This window comes from Homo sapiens, chromosome 7, assembly GCF_000001405.40.
Source record: "Homo sapiens chromosome 7, GRCh38.p14 Primary Assembly".
Taxonomy (NCBI): domain Eukaryota; kingdom Metazoa; phylum Chordata; class Mammalia; order Primates; family Hominidae; genus Homo; species Homo sapiens.
In genome coordinates, this window is record NC_000007.14 from 25379722 (window position 1) to 25398859 (window position 19138).

Consider the following 19138-nt stretch of genomic DNA (forward strand, 5'->3'; position numbering starts at 1 on the left):
TTAATGAGACATGCGACCTATGAATAAGCATGTACAGCTACTGCACATGTGCATCCAGAGGACCACCCACAATATGCTTACTAGTAACATCTCCTTCCACACCCTTATGAATAATCATGTAAGATTCCCATAAGGGTAGTCTCCCTAGGGCCAGTCCATGCTTTCTCTTCTTTATGAGCAGCCTGCCATGAATCCTCTCTCAGGGTGCACTGTCTATTCTGCACCCAGCTTTTAGAATATTCTTTCTCTTTTGCAATAAATTGCTCTATGCTGCAGCTCCTTTGCTGTGTGTCTCTTCTTTAAGTTCTTTTAAACTAATAAGACAAGAACTGAGGTCTCACAACAGCCATCAACAAGATTGTTGAAATTCTGGAAGAGTGATTTTCCCCATGGGTAATACATTATTCTTTTTATTATTTCAAAATACAGAGTGTGAAGTCAGTTATTCTATCATGCTGACTTCCATCATTTCCAGTTAATATTTCTAAAGATGCATGAAATTAAGAGAGAAAAATAGGAGTGTGAACTACCAGGAAGCATATATAAGAATGATACTGATGGTTTGGTGAATAAAATAACCCAGATTTGGGGTAAGAGTATTTCCCACTTTTAGAGGAGTTGAAAAGTTAAAACCTTTGTCAGTAAACATTAAAGTTCTTGCTAATTTATTTGAAGTAAATTACGAAATAAATTCTTTAGAAGGCAGCTTCTGCTGACTTATAGTCTGAAATTTGCATTAGGGCCATCATTATTACTTGTAGGGTTTCCCCAGCATCTGTGGCATTCTGTCTGTCCTGGAAGGGCTGTTTGGTTCAGCCTTCAGTGAGAAGTAAATATAAGGAGAGTCTGGTGTTGCTGTGCTATAGACTGAATATTTGTATCCCTCACACTTGTATGTTGAGCCTCTTAACCATCAGTGTGATGGTATTAGGTATAAGTCTTTGGGAGGTGATTAGGTTATGGGGGTGGAACCATCATGAATGGGATTAGTGCCCTTACAAAAGAGACATCAGAGAACTTCCTTCCCCTTCTGTCATGTGAATACTGGTGTCTGTGAATCAGAAACGGGACACTGAATCTGCCGGTGCTTCAATCTAAGGCTTCCCAGCCTCCAGAACTATCAGAAATAAATTTGTTGTTTATAAGCCACTTCATCTACGTTTTTTTGTTATAGCAACCCAAATGGACAAAGAAAGCTACATAACATTCCTGTTCAAACTCCAGCTCTCTCACTTACTATTGCATGACTTAGGACAAAAGTTTTGAAACTTTTTCAAATTCCAGTTTCTTTATCTAGAAATGGTCTTATTGAGGATTAAATGAAATAATGGTTGTAAAGCACTCAGCATTGTAAAGCAGCTGGCATACAGGCAGTACTACATTATAATGAACTCTTACAATCTTCTACAACAAATGAGACCTTTCTGTTTATTCAATTAAAATATCACAATGGGGAAAAATGACAGGAACTATGGTAAGGTTCTTATACAAGAGGGGGTTTATCATTATTCAAAAGTAGACTATATGTGTATCTATATATGTATGTGTATATATATGTTAAAGATGAATAAAACATAAAATATTACAGTGGTTCATTCAGGAGGGGGCTGAATAGCACTTCATTTTGACAAGCTAAAATGATAGAAGAGATTCATCAAAAGTCAGTACCAAGTTATGTAGATTCATTTTTTCCAAAGGATCATAAAATTGAAAAAAGGTTTTGCCGGTTAAAAGGAAATATTTCAAATGATCATGGACATGATTTTGTATTTTATAGAGCAAGAACTTAATATCTACTCTTTTAAATTTTTTTTTAAAACTCATAATCTCTACAATTATGAAAATTAGCTGGGCTATTGATTTATTTAGCTTGCTTCATTGGTTTGGATTAATTGGTTGGTGAGAGTTTATTGAAAGGAACTTAATCTCTTGGTGGGAACAACACTAATGTTAAAAGATAAACTAGTAGATGTACACTCTTGTCCACTTAGCAAAGTTGGAGAAATCTGGTTAGAGGTTTATCGTAATATTTGAGGGCTGAGAAGAGCAGCAACATTTATTTGAAGAAAGCCAGAGAATCTAATTACAGAAGAAAGAAGAGGTAAGGAAAAAGAAAAGGGAATGCACAATGGTGATAAGTGGGGTGTATGTGGGGAGCGTGGTCATGAAGCCTGATCATTTATCACATGAAATACTGGGTTGAGCTGAGGTTGAGTAATGTTGGACACTGCAAAGGCCCTATCCTTACTCCCTGAACCTTGGGGTAATCTTTAGACATTACCATTAATTATTTAGACTCAGAAGGCTGCAAAAACATCTTGATTCATTGGCAAAGTGACAAGCATATGGTGTGTTTTGCAAACCCCTAGCTTTCTGTTGAGGGGAGGCTAACATTAATTTCTTACAAATCCTGCAGGGACTTTCCAAGCCAGCCATTGTTAACATAGTTCAACTTCGAAGTTACAGAGCTTGGAGTAGTTTTGAAAAATAAGTTAGATACAAATGAGTGGCTTTATTCTGACTGGTGATGAGGAAGCTTCTGTGGCACCCTAGCTTTCCTGCAAAGAGCAACAGAGCATCGGACAGCTTTGCAGCTTGATTGATAGTGAAGGTGGCAGTCTATTTAGTGGGTCCTACAGGATGGTGCTCGGAATCTGGTGTTTCCCACAGAGCTTGGCACTCTATCAGCCCTGGCTCAGGCAAGAGTCCTGATTCTGATTCACTGAGCATGTGGCATGATCATGATCAGGCTGCCCTCTGGTTGAGGGAGATGAAAAGCCCACCCTCTCCCAATACACAGCTGTTGGAGGGCAACCCCCTATGGAAACATGAGAGGTGGGAGAGAGTGAATGGGGAGAGGTATGGTTGTATGAAATGAAAGACATACAAAGAACCCCTCATTGTCTTCAGCTCAGATACATATTATTGTATGGACTGCTTCTGACAGGTCATCAAATTTAAGCCCCAAAATTCCCTATGTTCTAGGGATAGATTAGTTCTACTTTCAATGCTGCGATAGACTTTTAGTGACTCCCTGGGCAAATAATTCACTTCTTGGCCTCTGTCATCTTTGTCAGCTCTTGGACCTACTCAAACCCCCATCAGAAAGGCAAGGTAATGTTTGAATTTTATTTATTGAACAAGTTGAATTGAAGGGAATTTGGACAAAAATTCTCTCTCATGGCAATAAGGGCTAGCAATTAAGGTACAAAGAAATGAAACTTATCTTAAGAACTAAGAAAAAAAAGCTGTTGATAGTACCAGCAGACGGTAAATAATATCAGCTATTCAGTCGACTCAGTCTGAAATTGAATGGGAAAGTAAAGGCAGCCAGCCCCATTTGGCAGTTCCATCTGCTCTGACCGGTTGAGCATTAAGGAAGAGAATGTGAGCAGGTATAAACAAGATTTAGATAAAAAGTATTTCTGGCTTAAGAAGCTGTGTGTTCACCCTGGGCCAAAATGATCAATCCTGGATTGTTCATAGGCAATTCGACCTCTTCTGCCAAAGAATCAAACTTTCTATTTTGAGAGGGGTCATCTGGTCTGTTTCAATGTGCTTCAGGCAAATCCACCTATAAATTAGGCCAGAGATAGAAGCATTGACCGTATTTTTTAAAAGGCTTCCCTGTCTGGAAACCTTTTTCTTATGTACAATCAAAACCTTTTTGGTTGCAAGTAAACCATTTTCCTTCCATTATTTCCCCAGTGAAAATAAAATATAAAGAAGAGTAACCACCTGTTTTCATAAGAAAGCCTTTAATGTATTGTGGCCATGTAACCACTCTCCCATCTTACCCAAGTTATGCAGTCCTAGTTTTGTTAGTATTTCTCCATACATGCTTTCTCCAAGTACATTAGCACCTGTTGCATGCTCTCATGAGTGGACTAGCCCTATATTTCATTCCTCTTCCTATTGAGGTTCTCACTCCTGCACCAGAACGTTCTAGGAAAGTGCAAATATTAGCAACAGCAGGATGTTCATCTAATTTGTGACTGTGATTTCTCAGCTTTGTCCACGTGTGCTTTATCCTAACAAGCTAACATAGGATCATTGCTACAGTCTTTTTGGTGCTTCTCAGGTTCAAGCCCACATTCTTCTCATTTCTGGATGCCACTTTCCAGCTATCAGACTGTCTTCTTCACAGAGAAGGTGCACTGTAGAGCAGAGATGGTGGGCTCAGCAAGAAGCATGCAGAGAGCTACTCCTGGTCCCTTAACGGCCATTTCCTCTTCTATGCCCTTGTGCATGCTGTTTGGTTGTATTGGCATTTCACCCAATAGTCTCTTCTTCTCCATGGAAATCTTCTATCCTTCTTTGGGACCCAGCCCAAATGTCGTCTCATTAAACCTCTATGATGGGTGAGGTACTTCATTCTACTCCTGCAGACACCTTTATTATCTAGTCTCCAAATGGAGGTCTAAGGCATCAAGGTAGGGACTTTAATTTTTTAAATATTCCCAGCATCTAAAAAGTACTTGGCACATAGTAGATGTTCCATAAATGTTTGCTGAATTAATTAATTAAATACTGGCATATAGAAGAAAAAGGCTTGAAAGTCACTAGCATGGAAGTTTTTTATTGAATTCCTAGGAGAGAGGAAAGGGAAAGAGAGAGCAAACAGCTCTCTGGAATCCAGCCACAGAAAAACTTCAATTGTGTGTGTGTGTGTGTGTGTGTGTGTGTGTGTGTGTGTGTGTAGTGGAAGGTGAGCTAGCAAAGGAAGTCATGGTCTGCTCAGATTGCTAGAAGAAGTAGGGTATTGTCATGTTACAGATGTGGAGAAAGAGAGTTTCAAGAAGGAACATTTTAAAAATAAAATCTAAGCCCTGAATCTGGGCTCTGCATGTTTGAGCCCCTGCCTACCTCTCTTCCAAGCTGTCTCCTGCTTCACACACCTGGTGCCAACTGTTGTCCCCCTGCTTGGAGCACCCCTGTGCTCCTGCTTCTCAGACCTCATTTCCATTTTCTGAGGCCTCCCTGAAATGCCCCCTCCCCACCACTCTTCCCGCATGACTCTCCTTTTCAGCCTCCTGCTTATTTCCTTCACAGAACTGATCAGATTTTAACTATATTAGTCAGGCATGCAAGTATTTTATTTTTTCGTCTGTCTGCCCCTAGCATGTGAACTCTATGAAGGATGGGACCTAGTGGGAGGAATAGATAAAAAATAATAACATAAGGCAGATGTGGATCTGGATCCTGACTAGAAGCCACACACTTATTGGCAACAGGCTATTTTTCTGCTCACTTCACTAGTCATGCTCACCTGCTCCCCTGCTCCCCTGCAGGGCTGGGACTGGGCACTCTCTCTTTTTCCTTGTCACTGAATTTTATAGGCTACTCTTTCCACTTCTCTGCCAAGACAGGGCTATCCCCCATCCATTTTAAATGCTTCAAAATGAAGACTTCTTCCTCAACTAGAACTTTTGAACTGTGCCTTTGATTTCCTGTTCTTCTCTTTTTTAATGAAGTCAAGTGGTAGGGCAATAATCTCAAGGAATTTTCCAGCCCCTGGAGATCCCTGCAAGAAGGGTCCATCAGGGAGGGGGTGAATTCATTGCTATTTTGGGCTTCGGAAGTGGGAGTAGTGAGTTGAGTTGCCTCCCGTCGCCTGCACCACGGGGCGCGTGTAAAATCTCTGCAAACAGTCCCAGTGTGCTTATAAAACCTCAGGTCACTGACAATTGCAGTGCTCATTTGCTGTGGCCAATTTAGCACTAATAAGCTGAAACTGGGCTTCAGGGATTTGTTGCCATGGCATGTAAACTCCCTTTAGAAACACATTTCCCAACAAGAGATTGCAGCCTAATAGATTTTTCCCCCTTCTCCATTTTTGTAAACTGACTTGTAGCTCATTTTGGAAGCATTTCCCCATTAGCTGACTCTCTGCTGCCATCTTTGTCAGTGCTGGAGTTCCACCGGGGGACAGTCGCCTGCTGTGGTCACCTGCAGGGAGAAGGGATGAAGAACTATCAGAGTCCCGGCTTTCCCCATGTCTGGAAAGAGTGGAGAGGAACTGGGTCTTGCTGAGCAAGTCCAGCCCTGCCAAACCCAGTTGCTTTCACATGTGTGTAGCAGACCTCGGCTGAGCACACAGCCTGGATGCCAAGGACAGGCCCTGGGCCAAAGTACCCAGGTGGGCCTGGTGCTCTTGTCCCTGCGGCCCTCTGCAGGGCTGGCCCTTGGACACGTCCAGCTGACACACACCCAGTACTTCACAGATGGCAGATGCCTACCCCTGCCGGGAAGGAGCCCACTTGGAAGCTCTGTATGATCCTGGTCACCTCGAGCCAGGAGAAGTCACTCTATTCTCAGTGACTTGGAGCCTCATGCTCACTTCTCCTGGTGAGACAGCTGATCAAACACCAGGCCTCACAACTTCCACACATTTGGAACAACACGGAAAGGCGGCTATTTCCTACAAGCACGAATGTAGCTCTCTCCCTACAGGTAATTCCAGTGGATTTAGGAGACCTCCTAGACTTGCTGTGGTTGCCAGCTTGAAGCTCGTCTGTAAACACTGACATGTCGGATTTGTCCCAAATAAGAAGGCCTGTCGTTTCCTCCAGCCCCACTCGAGGCCTGGGGACACAGAAGGAAAGAACCCTAGTTCCAATCAAAGCAACATTTTACCAGAAATCTGGCAGGCGCATGGCCTCCCCGTCCCCCTAGGCTGATTATGGAGTGCAGTCGCCTAATTGTTTGTGATGTGCCAAAACCCCGTTAGGAGTTTGCTCGTTACCTTGGAAGTTCTGCCAAAAAATTCTCTGTAGTTCTGGGCAGAGACACATGGAGACACTTTTGGGGCCAACTTTCTTTCATTACATTCAGCTAAAATGCAGACTGTCCTGAGAGAGGGGAGAGTGACTGGGGCAGGGGGAGTGAATAGGGGGTAGGAGAGGTTGGCCATGGGATTAGTTACAGCTGAGGGCCTGGCTTCACTTTCTCAGTTCCTCTGTTAGAAAATCACCACTTTGCAGTCATACGTGCTCCATTACCCAGGAGAGGCAGCTAACAGACACAAGGTTCAGGCTAGTCACCTGGTCAGGAGCTGCAAGGATGGTGGCCCATCGCCCAAGCACCACGGTGGTGGCAGAAATCTGCCCTCCCCTGGTGGTGCCAGTCCTCTGTGGTGGGAGGCTGGCATAAGATTGAAAACTACAATTTTTCTCCTATAAGGAAGGGTTTGTGTGCTTCATGCATGCATGTGTGTGACAGAGACAGAGGGACAAAATGATACTGTTATGTGTGTTTTTGGGATTCTTAACCCAACTATCTCCTAACATCCTAAATTTAATGTAAAATATACAGATTATACAGGAATCAAATGATTTACAATGGACTGACCCTGGCAGATGCTTGGCCTCTCTCTGGCCTGAGCTTCAGGCCTCCTGCCATTGCCCCACACTCATTGGTCAAAGCCCCACACCTTCCAGGGCACAAGCTGGCCCCTTCTTTCCTAATGAATGTTAGCATGCACCCGATCCATCTATGCCTGTCAAGGACGTCACTCACACTTTGACTACAACTAGCAAATCAAACAAACACCTGGTGGCCAGATCTCCCTTGCCAGGGTGTTCTCTCTGTAACACAGATGGGAGGCAGGCACTAGATTGTTGCTGGGTGGGTGGTGAAATCCCGGTACAAAGAGGAAGGCCAAGTCCTCTCTCAGGTCTTAGGAAACCTGCGGCCTCTCTCCCTCTGATCTCCGACTGCCGGACTCAATCACTACAGGCAGTGTGGTCTCATTTAAAGAAAAATAAGTCCTGCTGGGCAAGAAGTTGGGAGGACTGTATGTTATTAGTTCCTTGGCGTTTGGATAGGAGTGTCAGCCAGGTAAATTATTTTCTACCTTTATGTTTCAATTTTTCTCCAATTTTTACTCCATCCCATCCCCACTCAACCCTGAATAATGGTGGCATCAATAACTTCCTTGTGAGACTGTGGTGAAAATGGATTATGTGGTTGGTGCATTTGGAATTCCATAAAGGAAATGGGCTACAAATTCAGATATCATCACAGGTTGACCAGAGAGACAGGTAAATGACACTGCAGAGAAGGGACAAACTTGGTGGTGGTGATGAACAGCTCATGAGATAAGGCTAGGCTTCATTAAGGCCACACAGTTTTGGATGTTCTTGTTGGGTGTCTATTTAAAGAGGATTGTGGGCCAAATGACAACTGCCAGATGGCAGCATGACAGGTAGAAACACCAAAGAACCAGAGGGTGTTTATTCTGGAGGACACAGGAGTAAGGGGACAACTAAAGTTTTTAAGCATTTGAAGGACTGCTGCTTTGAGGGAAGATTAGAGTTGTTCTGAGTAATCCTTGATAGGTGAAGGACTTCTGAGATTTGAAAAATCTAAAGGAAGACATTTCAAACAGTTAGAATCGTCTGGTTGTCCAATTCATTTCAAAAGAATATGGATTGAACACTAACATATATAAAGACGAAGAAAATCTTGATAATCTATGATTCGTAATCCTATGGTTTTCACATGTTAAATCTAAACCTCCCAATAATTATATTTAAATTACCACATGTCTAACAAGAAATCTTCATTTTTACTCCTCAAGCAAATTTGCTGGGGCACCCTGCAGATAATTAATCGTTCTGCCTTCACCCACTCCTGTACCCTTCACCAAGAATATGTGATTTTTAGGTTCTCCTTTTTAAAACCTTGTTTTAACCCCAGTGATGTTTGCTTGCTCCATTTTTCTGTGTCACCTCCAATATGCAGGTTGGCATTGAGTGTACTTAGTTGCCCCATCGTTGATTTTCCTGGTTGGGTCTGTTTATTATGTTGAGCACTGCGGTGGATAGGACATCTCCTGGCCACCCCTACCCCTAAACAGAGAGGGTTCCTCATGAGATGTGGCCTGGGGTAAATTATCCAGGAACCCTGACATCTGCTGATATGGAATCTTCAGTCACCTGGCCATCAAGGCCATTGCAAGGCTTCTAGTTTCCTTCACAGAGAGAGGTAGCAACACCAAGACCTCTTACTGGGTTCTACCAACCTAAAACTAAAGCTCCTTCAGATGTTGTTGCAACTTAGAACATTGGCAAATGTGTGGATACATTTGTGTAATAAGCTCATTACACACATAATAAAATTACATACAAACAGACCATTGTTGTGGTTTTATCTGTTTTAATCATTCACTCAACAAATATTTGCTGAGTGCCTATTATATAAGTCCAATGACCCAGGACAGATTCAAAATACCGTGGGATGAAGAAGCCCACAGGTTTGTGATCTTGTGCACTCCTGGCATAATTTTAAAGGTGAGAAAACGTAATGCATATGAAAGTATTTTTTAAACTGAAGCATTGTATAAATGTAAGAGACATCTCTTAATCATCAGTGGGAAATCTAAATCACGAAGTGTGGCATCTGTAACATTTTTATGATTCGTTTTAAGTGGCCTTTGCAGATGGGTGACTATTTACTTTGTATACTGCAAACATGTCAGGTTTTTTAGGGGTTGGGGTTCCCATTTTTCCTCTCCAAATATCACCAGACTGCCCAAAACATTCTGAACTGCTCTTTCTTTCCTCGGAGTTTCTCTGGAACAGTCACTTCCCTCCCATTAGACACTTCTTCACTGCTGATGAGGATGCAGGCCCAGGTCCCCTGCGGCCTCCAAGGATCATCATTTTAGACCCTTTTTAAATGTCAGTAAAAGTTTTATGCCATTATCTCATCCCTCTTCTATATTCTCCATCCTTCCCACTTCTCTAGCCTGAGGGTGTTTAGCTGGGTCTCTCTCCGTACAGAATTTTAGTAAGGAAAGCTCCATAAGCAGAACGTTGATCAAATTACTGCACTGTGGCTCTTAATGGACAATATAGAATAATAATATTAAAAGTGAAGAGTTACCACAAAATATGTTATTCCGACGACAATGATATGATCTTCAATTTAGAAGTCAGGCCTGGGGTTAGTAAGAATTCAGTCTGTCCTTGAGTGACCTCTGCTGGTTGATCTAGGATGAAGTCTCAATTAAACCTTTGGTTGGATTAAAAAAAAAAAAAAAGAATGGTAGGGAATCCTGAGATGACCGACAAAATCGCGCTGCGCTGGTAGGAACTCTCAAATACTCATGTTCTCTTCTGGCACTCTTGTTTGCCCCTTAGTGTGTGTACTAAGGCACCATGTAAATCATGTACTCCTCATGGGGAGGGGGCAGGTATTTGTATGATCATTTTACAGAGGAGGAAAGTGACTGAGAAGTTAAAACCACTGATCTGGGGTCACACAGCTAGTATGTAGTAGGGCAGGATTCTAATTTGGAGTCATCTCATACACAGCCCAGTCTGGGGCTTCCCCACCTGCCTCCAGGTGCCTCCTCTGTCATCCCAGAGATGCTGGGATGGTAAATAAATATGCATGAATAAGTCCTTACATGAGGGCTACTTGGGGGAAAAAGATTCTATGTAAGGATGTTACTACCATCTTACTGTATCTGTAATAAAACAATAAACTTGCTCTGATCTTCCTTTCAGTGTGACCCAGGGGCTAAGCCCTTATGTTTGCTAATTTGGTGAATGGTTGTTCTCTACTAATTTAGGTCAGGGATTTAGCTTTCATTTCCCTGATTAATTTAAGTCGACTGTTTGGCTGGTCATCTTGGTTATAAAGTTGTGCATATTGACATGTATCTTCCTTGTGGAGATTAATAACAAGTATCTATCTAGTCACTGCTCTGGGTACAACTATGTTTAGCATCTTGTACCTGCCCTTCAGGAGTTTGCAGCCAAGGAATAATCACCCTAACTAACACTTGTCAGATGTGAATGGGTGCTAGGGAAGAAAGAAGGAGAAAAGGTAGAACTTAAGCCTCCAAGAAAGGTGAGGCTTAAATAAACAAAGAGAAGTGGAATGTGCAAAGGAGAGGATATGAGGAAAAATATACAGAGACAGGAGGCAAGTATCGTGCTTAGGGTGCTGGAAATACACCCAGTTAGTATGGATAGAAGGTTTAGGTGAAGGCATGAGCTTAGAGGGGAGATGAGGCCAGACTGTAGGGGGTGGAGAGCCAGGTGAGGAGGTTGCTTCACTAAGGGGTTGGGAAACCTCCTCTTCTCGTGAATTTAAAGAGAAGTGTGGAAGCTTTCTTTCCAGGACAGGAGCCAGACCTGAAAGCCTCCTGAGTCCTTGCCAACCCTATGAATATTAATTCAGATGTTTGAAAAAGAGATTAAATACATATCAGTTTTAATAATCTCTCCCATTATTGATCACTGCTATGTGCCAGGCACCGTGCGAAGCACCTTACAGGCACTATTTCATTTTACCCTCCAGTTACCCTGTAAAGTAGATACTATTATTATCCTCATTTTATAGATGAGAGATTTTAATGTCATTGGACACAAACACCCATGCACTAAGCACATATGTGTCTAAGTTGCAAGTTTAAAGTGTTAGAATTCAGCTTCCCTTCACGTTACATCCTTCTGTATAGATGGTGATTCATTCATTCTTCAGATACCTGGTAAAACATCATCTCCAATGTAGACCAATGTGGAATGAATCTTTCCTTTCCCTGATGAGACAATACTACAGGGAATGGGTTAAGTGTTACATTGAATATCCTTAGGACAGTTAGGTAAATGGAACAAGTTTTTTATTTGCTTTTCTTTCCCCCAAAATAAATGTGTGGTTGAGAAAGAGTTCACCTTTGTAAGAAAAAGAAACTTATGTCTACCATTCTGAAATTTTCCAGATGGTGGCACTACTTCATCAGTGATTCCACACCGTTTTCTAGTATTTTTCTATGAGTTTCGAAGAAAGTTCAAGAAATCTTAAGAGGCATATATTTTCTAACCTACGATTTTTATCAGGATCCATGGTTTTTCAATACTAGATTTCATTAAACAACACAAATCAGAACAAATCAAGAAGTTACAAAAATTAAACTCCTGTTTTTCAACAATATTTAGCTCATTGTTCACAACTGCTGTGAACAAATTATTACAAATTAAAAAGCTATCACAGCCGGGGGTGAATTTTCTTTTATATTGAATAGAATTCCATGTAGAATGAGATTATAATGCTGGAACATAAGAAACAATACCAACATCCTATAAATGAAAGCGGGAAGGATGCTAACCCTCTAAGCCTAAGCTTAAAATAAGTTCTGATTTCTAACAATTAGATGAAAACTTTTCTTGTCACTTCTTGACAAAGTGAAAGCTTTCTCTTTAGGTATACAGCCACAAACTTCAAGAGATTTTTCTCTTTGATATTAGTCTTATCTTTTCCCGAGAAAACACTTTGAAGTGGTTATTTGAGTATTTGTTGTATGAGTGAAAGGACCTGATTTTGGTCCCTGCACGTATTTCCTGGCTAAATGGTTAACATTTTATGTTTTTGTATCCCTCCCTCTGAGGACCATCTCTCTTTTGTTTTATTAGCAATGCTAAAGCCTGCATCCCGTGACCCTGGAGAAGGGGAATTACATTATTTATTCTCTTGGAAGTAGCATTAAAATATTATTTCCCTCCCCAAACGATGTTTTCTAAACATTCTCTCTGATTACACAAAATTTTCAGTCTGTCCAGCTAAACCATATATTTTATGAGACATTTTCAAACAAGTGTGCTCAGGAACTCAAGTGTTCAGGGAGAAAATACAGCCCTCTGTGTAGCATCTAGAAGTGAAGTTGCCTCCTAATAAGTATACAGAGTGTGTAACTACAGGCTTGGGAGGTCTGTTCGTATTCATGGGAGTTAACAGCATAAATTCCAAGGGAATTCAGAGAACAGACAGTTAAAATAACACCAGTAAAGTCGCACTCACCGCAGCATACTCAACACAGCCTGTTTAATGTGGTGTGATTTTTATTAGGTAATGTGATGTACGTTAAGCCAGAAAACAAAAACAACTAAATAGGCAAAACTTGGACTAACCCCTTTCAAAATGTTTAATGAGAAACAAAGCTGAGAAAAGCAATCTTCTGAATCGAGTAACAAAGAGATTTTGGGTAGGGTTTTCCCAGCCAGGCCCTAGTGGTCAGATAACGGCTATCCGTATTCCTGTTCCCAGAACTCCTCACCAGTGGCTCTGGCTGACTCTCTCCTCCTGTTCATTGTGATGGCAGCTCATGCTAGCGGGCCACTTGCTGCCTTTGCCAGAATTCCCCAGTGTCGCCCTGGGACAGAAGCAGTGTGCATTTCTTGGTGAAGGTTATCTTTATTTACCCATGTTGTGGGTTGGTGGGAGAAAACCCAATGCATTAACATGTCACGGGGCCATCAGCCCCTGTGTCTCGCTACTCTTGGGTTCTGCAGTGGATCTTGTTCAAATCAGAAGCCCTCCAACCTCAAATCAGGCAAATTTTAAGTTCCACAGCTGCCAGGCTTTCAGTGGAAATGAGGGTGGCCTTGGGGCGCTATTTTGAAATCGCTGCCTAGAGCAGGAACAGAGAAATGCCTGCCCTACTTGTTTTATCAATTAAGCTGAGAAATCCAAAGTCAGTCCAGGAGGACTGTGTGCATACTCTCCCTCTCTCTCACCTTCTCTGACTCCCCTTCATTAAATGTGACTGGGTAGCCTCAAATATTCCCTTTATTTTTCCAGTGAGTATGTGAAACTTTTCCACTGCTAATATTCTACATCAAAACCATTTATTTCAATGTCCTTTCTGGAATAATCTCTTAGAGGCCTACCTCTCAGGGAGAGCAGAAACTTAGAACATTGAGACTTGAGCAAAAAATACACATGACTAACTTTATTTATTTAATGAGATCTCATTTATTAATGAAAAAGCTTCTAATAGATATATATTTGTAGATACTTGGTTAGAAGTAAAATAGCACCTTATATTCTAGATTGTATTCCTTTTAGAAAAGTACTTTCTAGTGGACAGAAAAATATTTACTTTTCTAATATCCAGTTGATGGATGTTAGCAGTAAGTAGGAAAAAGTAATCATTAATAACCCCACTGTGAATGGTTAAGTGTGGTAGATGCTTTTATCTTAACTGTATTGAATGGAATTTACAGTTAGGTTAATATTTTGCTCTTTTAACAGGAATTATAATAACCTAGTATAATTGTTTAATATGACTTATCTAAAAATGCAACAATGAAATAACTACTTGTTATTGAAGGTATCTCTGGTCCCAAAGCATAAAGTTAGCGAAATCTCAATCCCTCTCTCTGTTGCCCTCCCTTCAAGTTTACATCAGATGTCTTAACTGCTGCTACGTTTTTCTCTCCCAGCTTTCACTAAATAACCAAGGGTGGTCATCAAACAATAAATTCTCTTTGATATTCTTTCCAATTTCCTTCAAGATGCAGTGCAGCTTGCCCCTGAGAAATTTGAAACGTTTTTGTTTGTTGTGGCTTAAATTACCTCCTGACTTTTCTTTCCTTGGGTCGTTGTTGTTGATAATAGTAAGAAAAAAATGAGACTCCCCTAAGAATATGCCACTTTAAAATATATTTTCACCACCTTAATTCCCTTTTGAAATAATGTTTCTGTTAGCGATTAAATAAGGAGTTTAAGAGTTGGTGTCATGGTGTCTATAAATAAACTTGAGAACATGCATTTATAAAGAGTCATATTTTTATAATCTCATCTCCACTAAACAAAACAGTATTTTCTGGCACCTGTACACTCAATGTTTCATGTAGTTCTTATTATGGAATTTCCTTTCTCATTTGAGATTGAAGATAATTACTGAATACGATAGAAACTTTATAGCCATTAAAAATAGAACAGAAAAATGTTACCAGACGGCAAGTTGTTCACAATAAATATGAAACAGAACTCTAGTCCAAGCTTACATTCTCTTGATTCTAAAAGGACATAGGTTCCTTTCCTCTGATTCTTTAAAACATTTTTTTAGGAGCTTAGGAAAATATCATCAAATCATTGCCTAAATGTTAATGTAGTAGAAAATCTGTCTATATGTAATTCCTGTTTATATATAAAATGGCTGAATATTAAAATTTTCTTATGGCTTAACAATTAATGTAATTGTCATTTTGTAATCAGCTTTGGCAGTGCTATATTTAACTTTGGGCTGATTTAAGTAGAGGGAATGGCACTTGGAAATATAATGGCAAAAACAATGTAACACCTCAAAAATTTCCCTTCATCAAGAACTTACTGACTTTTTCTTTATTGGGTGAGAAGGATGAAGTTGGAAATGAAATCAGCTCATGAGGTAGCTATGGGTGCTTTTTCCACCTAAGTCTGCTGTGGCTTTCAGAAATCCTGATCCCTTTTCCTTAGTTACCCCAAATGCTCATATCTTAAAAAAAAAAAAAGAATGATAGCACATGGTAAATCTGCAGAGATACTTTTAAATTTAAATCTGAACTAGAGCAGCTTTGATCTTCTCCAAATTCATCCTTTTGTAGTTCAGAAACAAGCTCTTACTTTTAAGATTATTTTTATTTTATTTTATGAGATTATAGTATTTAATTTCAGAATTGCCAGATGAAAATAGGGCTCAACTTCTGGCCAAGTTTCTGAATGTAAATTGTATTCCTTTTCCCCAGAGTCAATGAGTCTATGGAGTTTCAAATTCATTGAAAATATGGGCAAAGCTCTTTTTTGCCAAACACAGCATTGCTTTTTTTAGCTAGCAGCTTTTGAGCATTTAGTTTATGCCAAAAGTTTACTGAGCAATTTACATGCATTATGTCATGTAATTCTCAAAAACTTTGAGTTAGAAACTAACAATATTCCCATTTTACAGACAAGGAAACTGAGACTCTGGCTAAGTAATGTGTTCAGTGGTACACAGCTAACAAGAAGCCAGAATTTGAACTCAGGTTTTGGGTAACATTTGCGCCAAATGCTATTCTAAATGATTTACATGCATTTATCTCATTTATTCAATCACAACAATTCCTCATGGTATTATTTTATTCCCATTTATCAGATAAGGAAACAGAAACATAGAAAGAGGCTACATTTCCACTCTGCACTAAGGCATTATTTTTCAATGTGTATTCTGCAATAAAATAAATTTACACTTAAATATATTTAAGAATGCTGCTTATCCCAATCTTTTACTTTAGCTCATTTTTGAATAGTCACCAGTTTGCTAGTTGTTCTGAAAAGTCCTGTTATAACAATTCTGTTTAGCCCAGTGTTTCTCAAATTTCCGTATCGCAGAAACCCTTTCATGTATAACTGCTCTTGCTATTCTGCAGAAAACACTTTGAGAAATATTCACAGGCTAGAAAATTTCAAGATGGTGGGTAACTGGCAAGGACATATTAGGTAGCTGGTATACCATATTAGGTTGGTATTTAGCACAACGTGTTGACGGCCAATTCTAATTGGTCAAATTTATATGACCTGCTGAAGGCAGATATGAAGAGCAATGCCCTTTCCAAAGAGGGAGTCTTTGCCGTTGGATGTGGCTGGTGGCCTAAAACAGGGTCCAAGAGACAGGGACTGAACTCCCTGCTGTTGGGCAAGGGGCATACCCAACAAGCAGGGAGGCAGGGGGCGTGCTGCCTCTGTGCTCAGCAGGCATGCTCAGGGAGGAAGCAAGTCTCCTTCCGACTTTATGCTGCCTGTGGCCACAGCCTCTTCCAGAATCATGACCCTTGTCATGTAATAGGGTGATGTAGGAACACCAGAGCCATTCAGGACAACTCTGTGGCCTCCACATTCAGGTCTCTCATTCCTAAATATGGTTGTCAAGAGACAGCAGCTCAGCTTGGAAATAGTTTGTGAAAGTCAGAACCAATCAGAGTGTGTTCTTGAGGATGCTGGGCTTGATGATGCCTGCTGATAAAGCTCGCAGATCACCTGCTGACGGTGGTGGTGCTGCCCACGAGGTGGGGAAACTGAAAGTGGTCCTGGGAGTTTTGCCAAATAAAAATAGTAAGAGCAGATCCTTAGCAAAAAAATAGAACGATTTGGGGGTGAGGGGTGGAGTGGGGGGGGGGTTATTCTTTGAATAATTACACTGGCTTTTAAGAAAATGTTAACATTTATCTTACTGCGACATTTGCCTCATTGAAGCTGAGCTGTTTTTCTCTCTTTTCAATGAGATATTGAAGGAGCCCTGAACTCTATGATGAATGTTAACTTTTTAATGAAAACTCTTGTACACTGTGTCCCAGAGGCAGGGCCTGCATGGGCTATTGAGAGAAGCAAGCTCAACGAACCGCTGCTCAAAATTCCAGGAGGTTAATAGGCAAATCAGCCTGGAAATGAAGAAACCAGCTGTAGTTCTTCTCTTTCTGGGCTTTTCTTATGATTCAAGGCATCTGGGCACCATCTTTGTGCATAAATATTCCATTTTTCAACTTCTGGGGGTTTTTTTTGGCAAAAGGAGCCATTTGTTTTTTATTATTATTAATGGCATCCTCTTTTTTGACAAGTTCCAGACATCCTTGCCAGTTCAGGCCACTTAGGTGAGCTAGGAGGGGGCATCTTGGCCTGGATCCTCACCTGACACCTCTGCTCTGGCTGAAGCTGAAAGGTCACATCACCCCTTTGTCCCTGCTTCCTAGCGCCAGTCCCTGTAAGGAAATCTACATGGTGGGGATGAAAAAGTCAGAGAGACTTAAGAGCTGAAAAAAACCTTCAGACGATTGAACCCATGGGCTCTCAAACTTAGCTGTACACCAGAATCACCAGGAAGTTTAAAAATTATGGATGCTGGGCTTTCCTCAGAGGTCCTGATGTAATTGGCTGGGGGTGCAGCTCATGCACCTGGAGTCTAAAGAGCTCCCAAGGGATTCTAACGTGCAACAGTGTTTGAGAACCATTGGCCTCACCCAGAATGCATTCTGCAGCTTCGTGGGATGGTGACAGGAGGGTCTCTCCTGAGTACTCACTGACGGCTCCCTCCACCTTCCTTCACCAAACTGCTTCTGAAATAAAACCAAGAAGGTCCGGTGGTCACTGGGACGAACTAGGCTAACAAACATTTTGTTTTGTTTTATGGGAGATTTCCCACAGCCTTGAATATAACGATGCACATTTTTCATCCCAATGTGCAGGGAGGAAAGCGCTTCCCACATTTATCGGATCCCTAATTTCACAGATGGGCTAAGAGAACTAGGGTCCGGGGACCTACAGATTCCTCTCCTTGGGAAATGCTGCTTCTCATCTAAGAAATGAACCTCAAGGCTTAAAACCTAGATGACAGGTTGATAGGTGCCGCAAACCACCATAGCACATGAATACTTATGTAACATGTGCATGTTCTGCACATGTATCCCAGAACTTAAAATAAAATTTAAAAAAAAGTTGACACTGAAAAAAAAAAGAAATGAACCCCAAATTGGTGGGTTCACATGCCTAGTGTGTTCCTAGCGTATCTCACACCCACAGCAGATCATTCATAACACCTCCCTCCTCTGTGGAACAGCATTGTTTTCAGTAATAAGCATGTAATAAAGGACATCATTATCCATTTGATGATTTTTCTTTAGTTTGAAAAAACAAACATTTTAAAAGAAGGATAAATTTCAATTTAAAAATATAATTCAAATTTAGTTAAGTATTTCATGAATGAACTAGAATTTGTACTTACCAAACAAAAAATGTACACCTCACAATTCATACTATTTCACTTTTATAAATTTTAAATAAAAACTTCAAGTAGTCACAGAGAATGACAGAATCGAAGTAACTCAGGTTCTGTGTTTTGTCTTTATAATCCCTTGCTATCATTGTTTATTCCAAATCTACTGTTTAGGATTCTATAGTACCATGGAACGGAAGATGTAAATTGAGCTGATAGTGAGCTCAGACGGTACTAACCCATTGCAAACTTCTCTAGAAACAATTGTATGTGTTATGTATTGAGTTCACATGGGTCTCAGCCCCACTGTGTAACCGGGAATTTTAAAAATTAACTTCCACATTAATTTAATAAATACATTTAATAAATAAATTTAATATTTATTTAAAGATACGTAATAAAAGATGCCAACTTGAAGCACATATATATGTTTATTAATTCATCTATTTATTAAAATCAATTGCTTAGAACTTAGATCAATTGACTCGAGAGGGAGAAGCATTTTATCACTGCTTTTCTTAGCATGGATGGTGGGTGCTGATAATAAAAAGCAGACTGACTTTAGTTAGTTTTATTATTGTATAAAATTCTCTACAGACAGTGCGCCCCCTCACTGCCTAC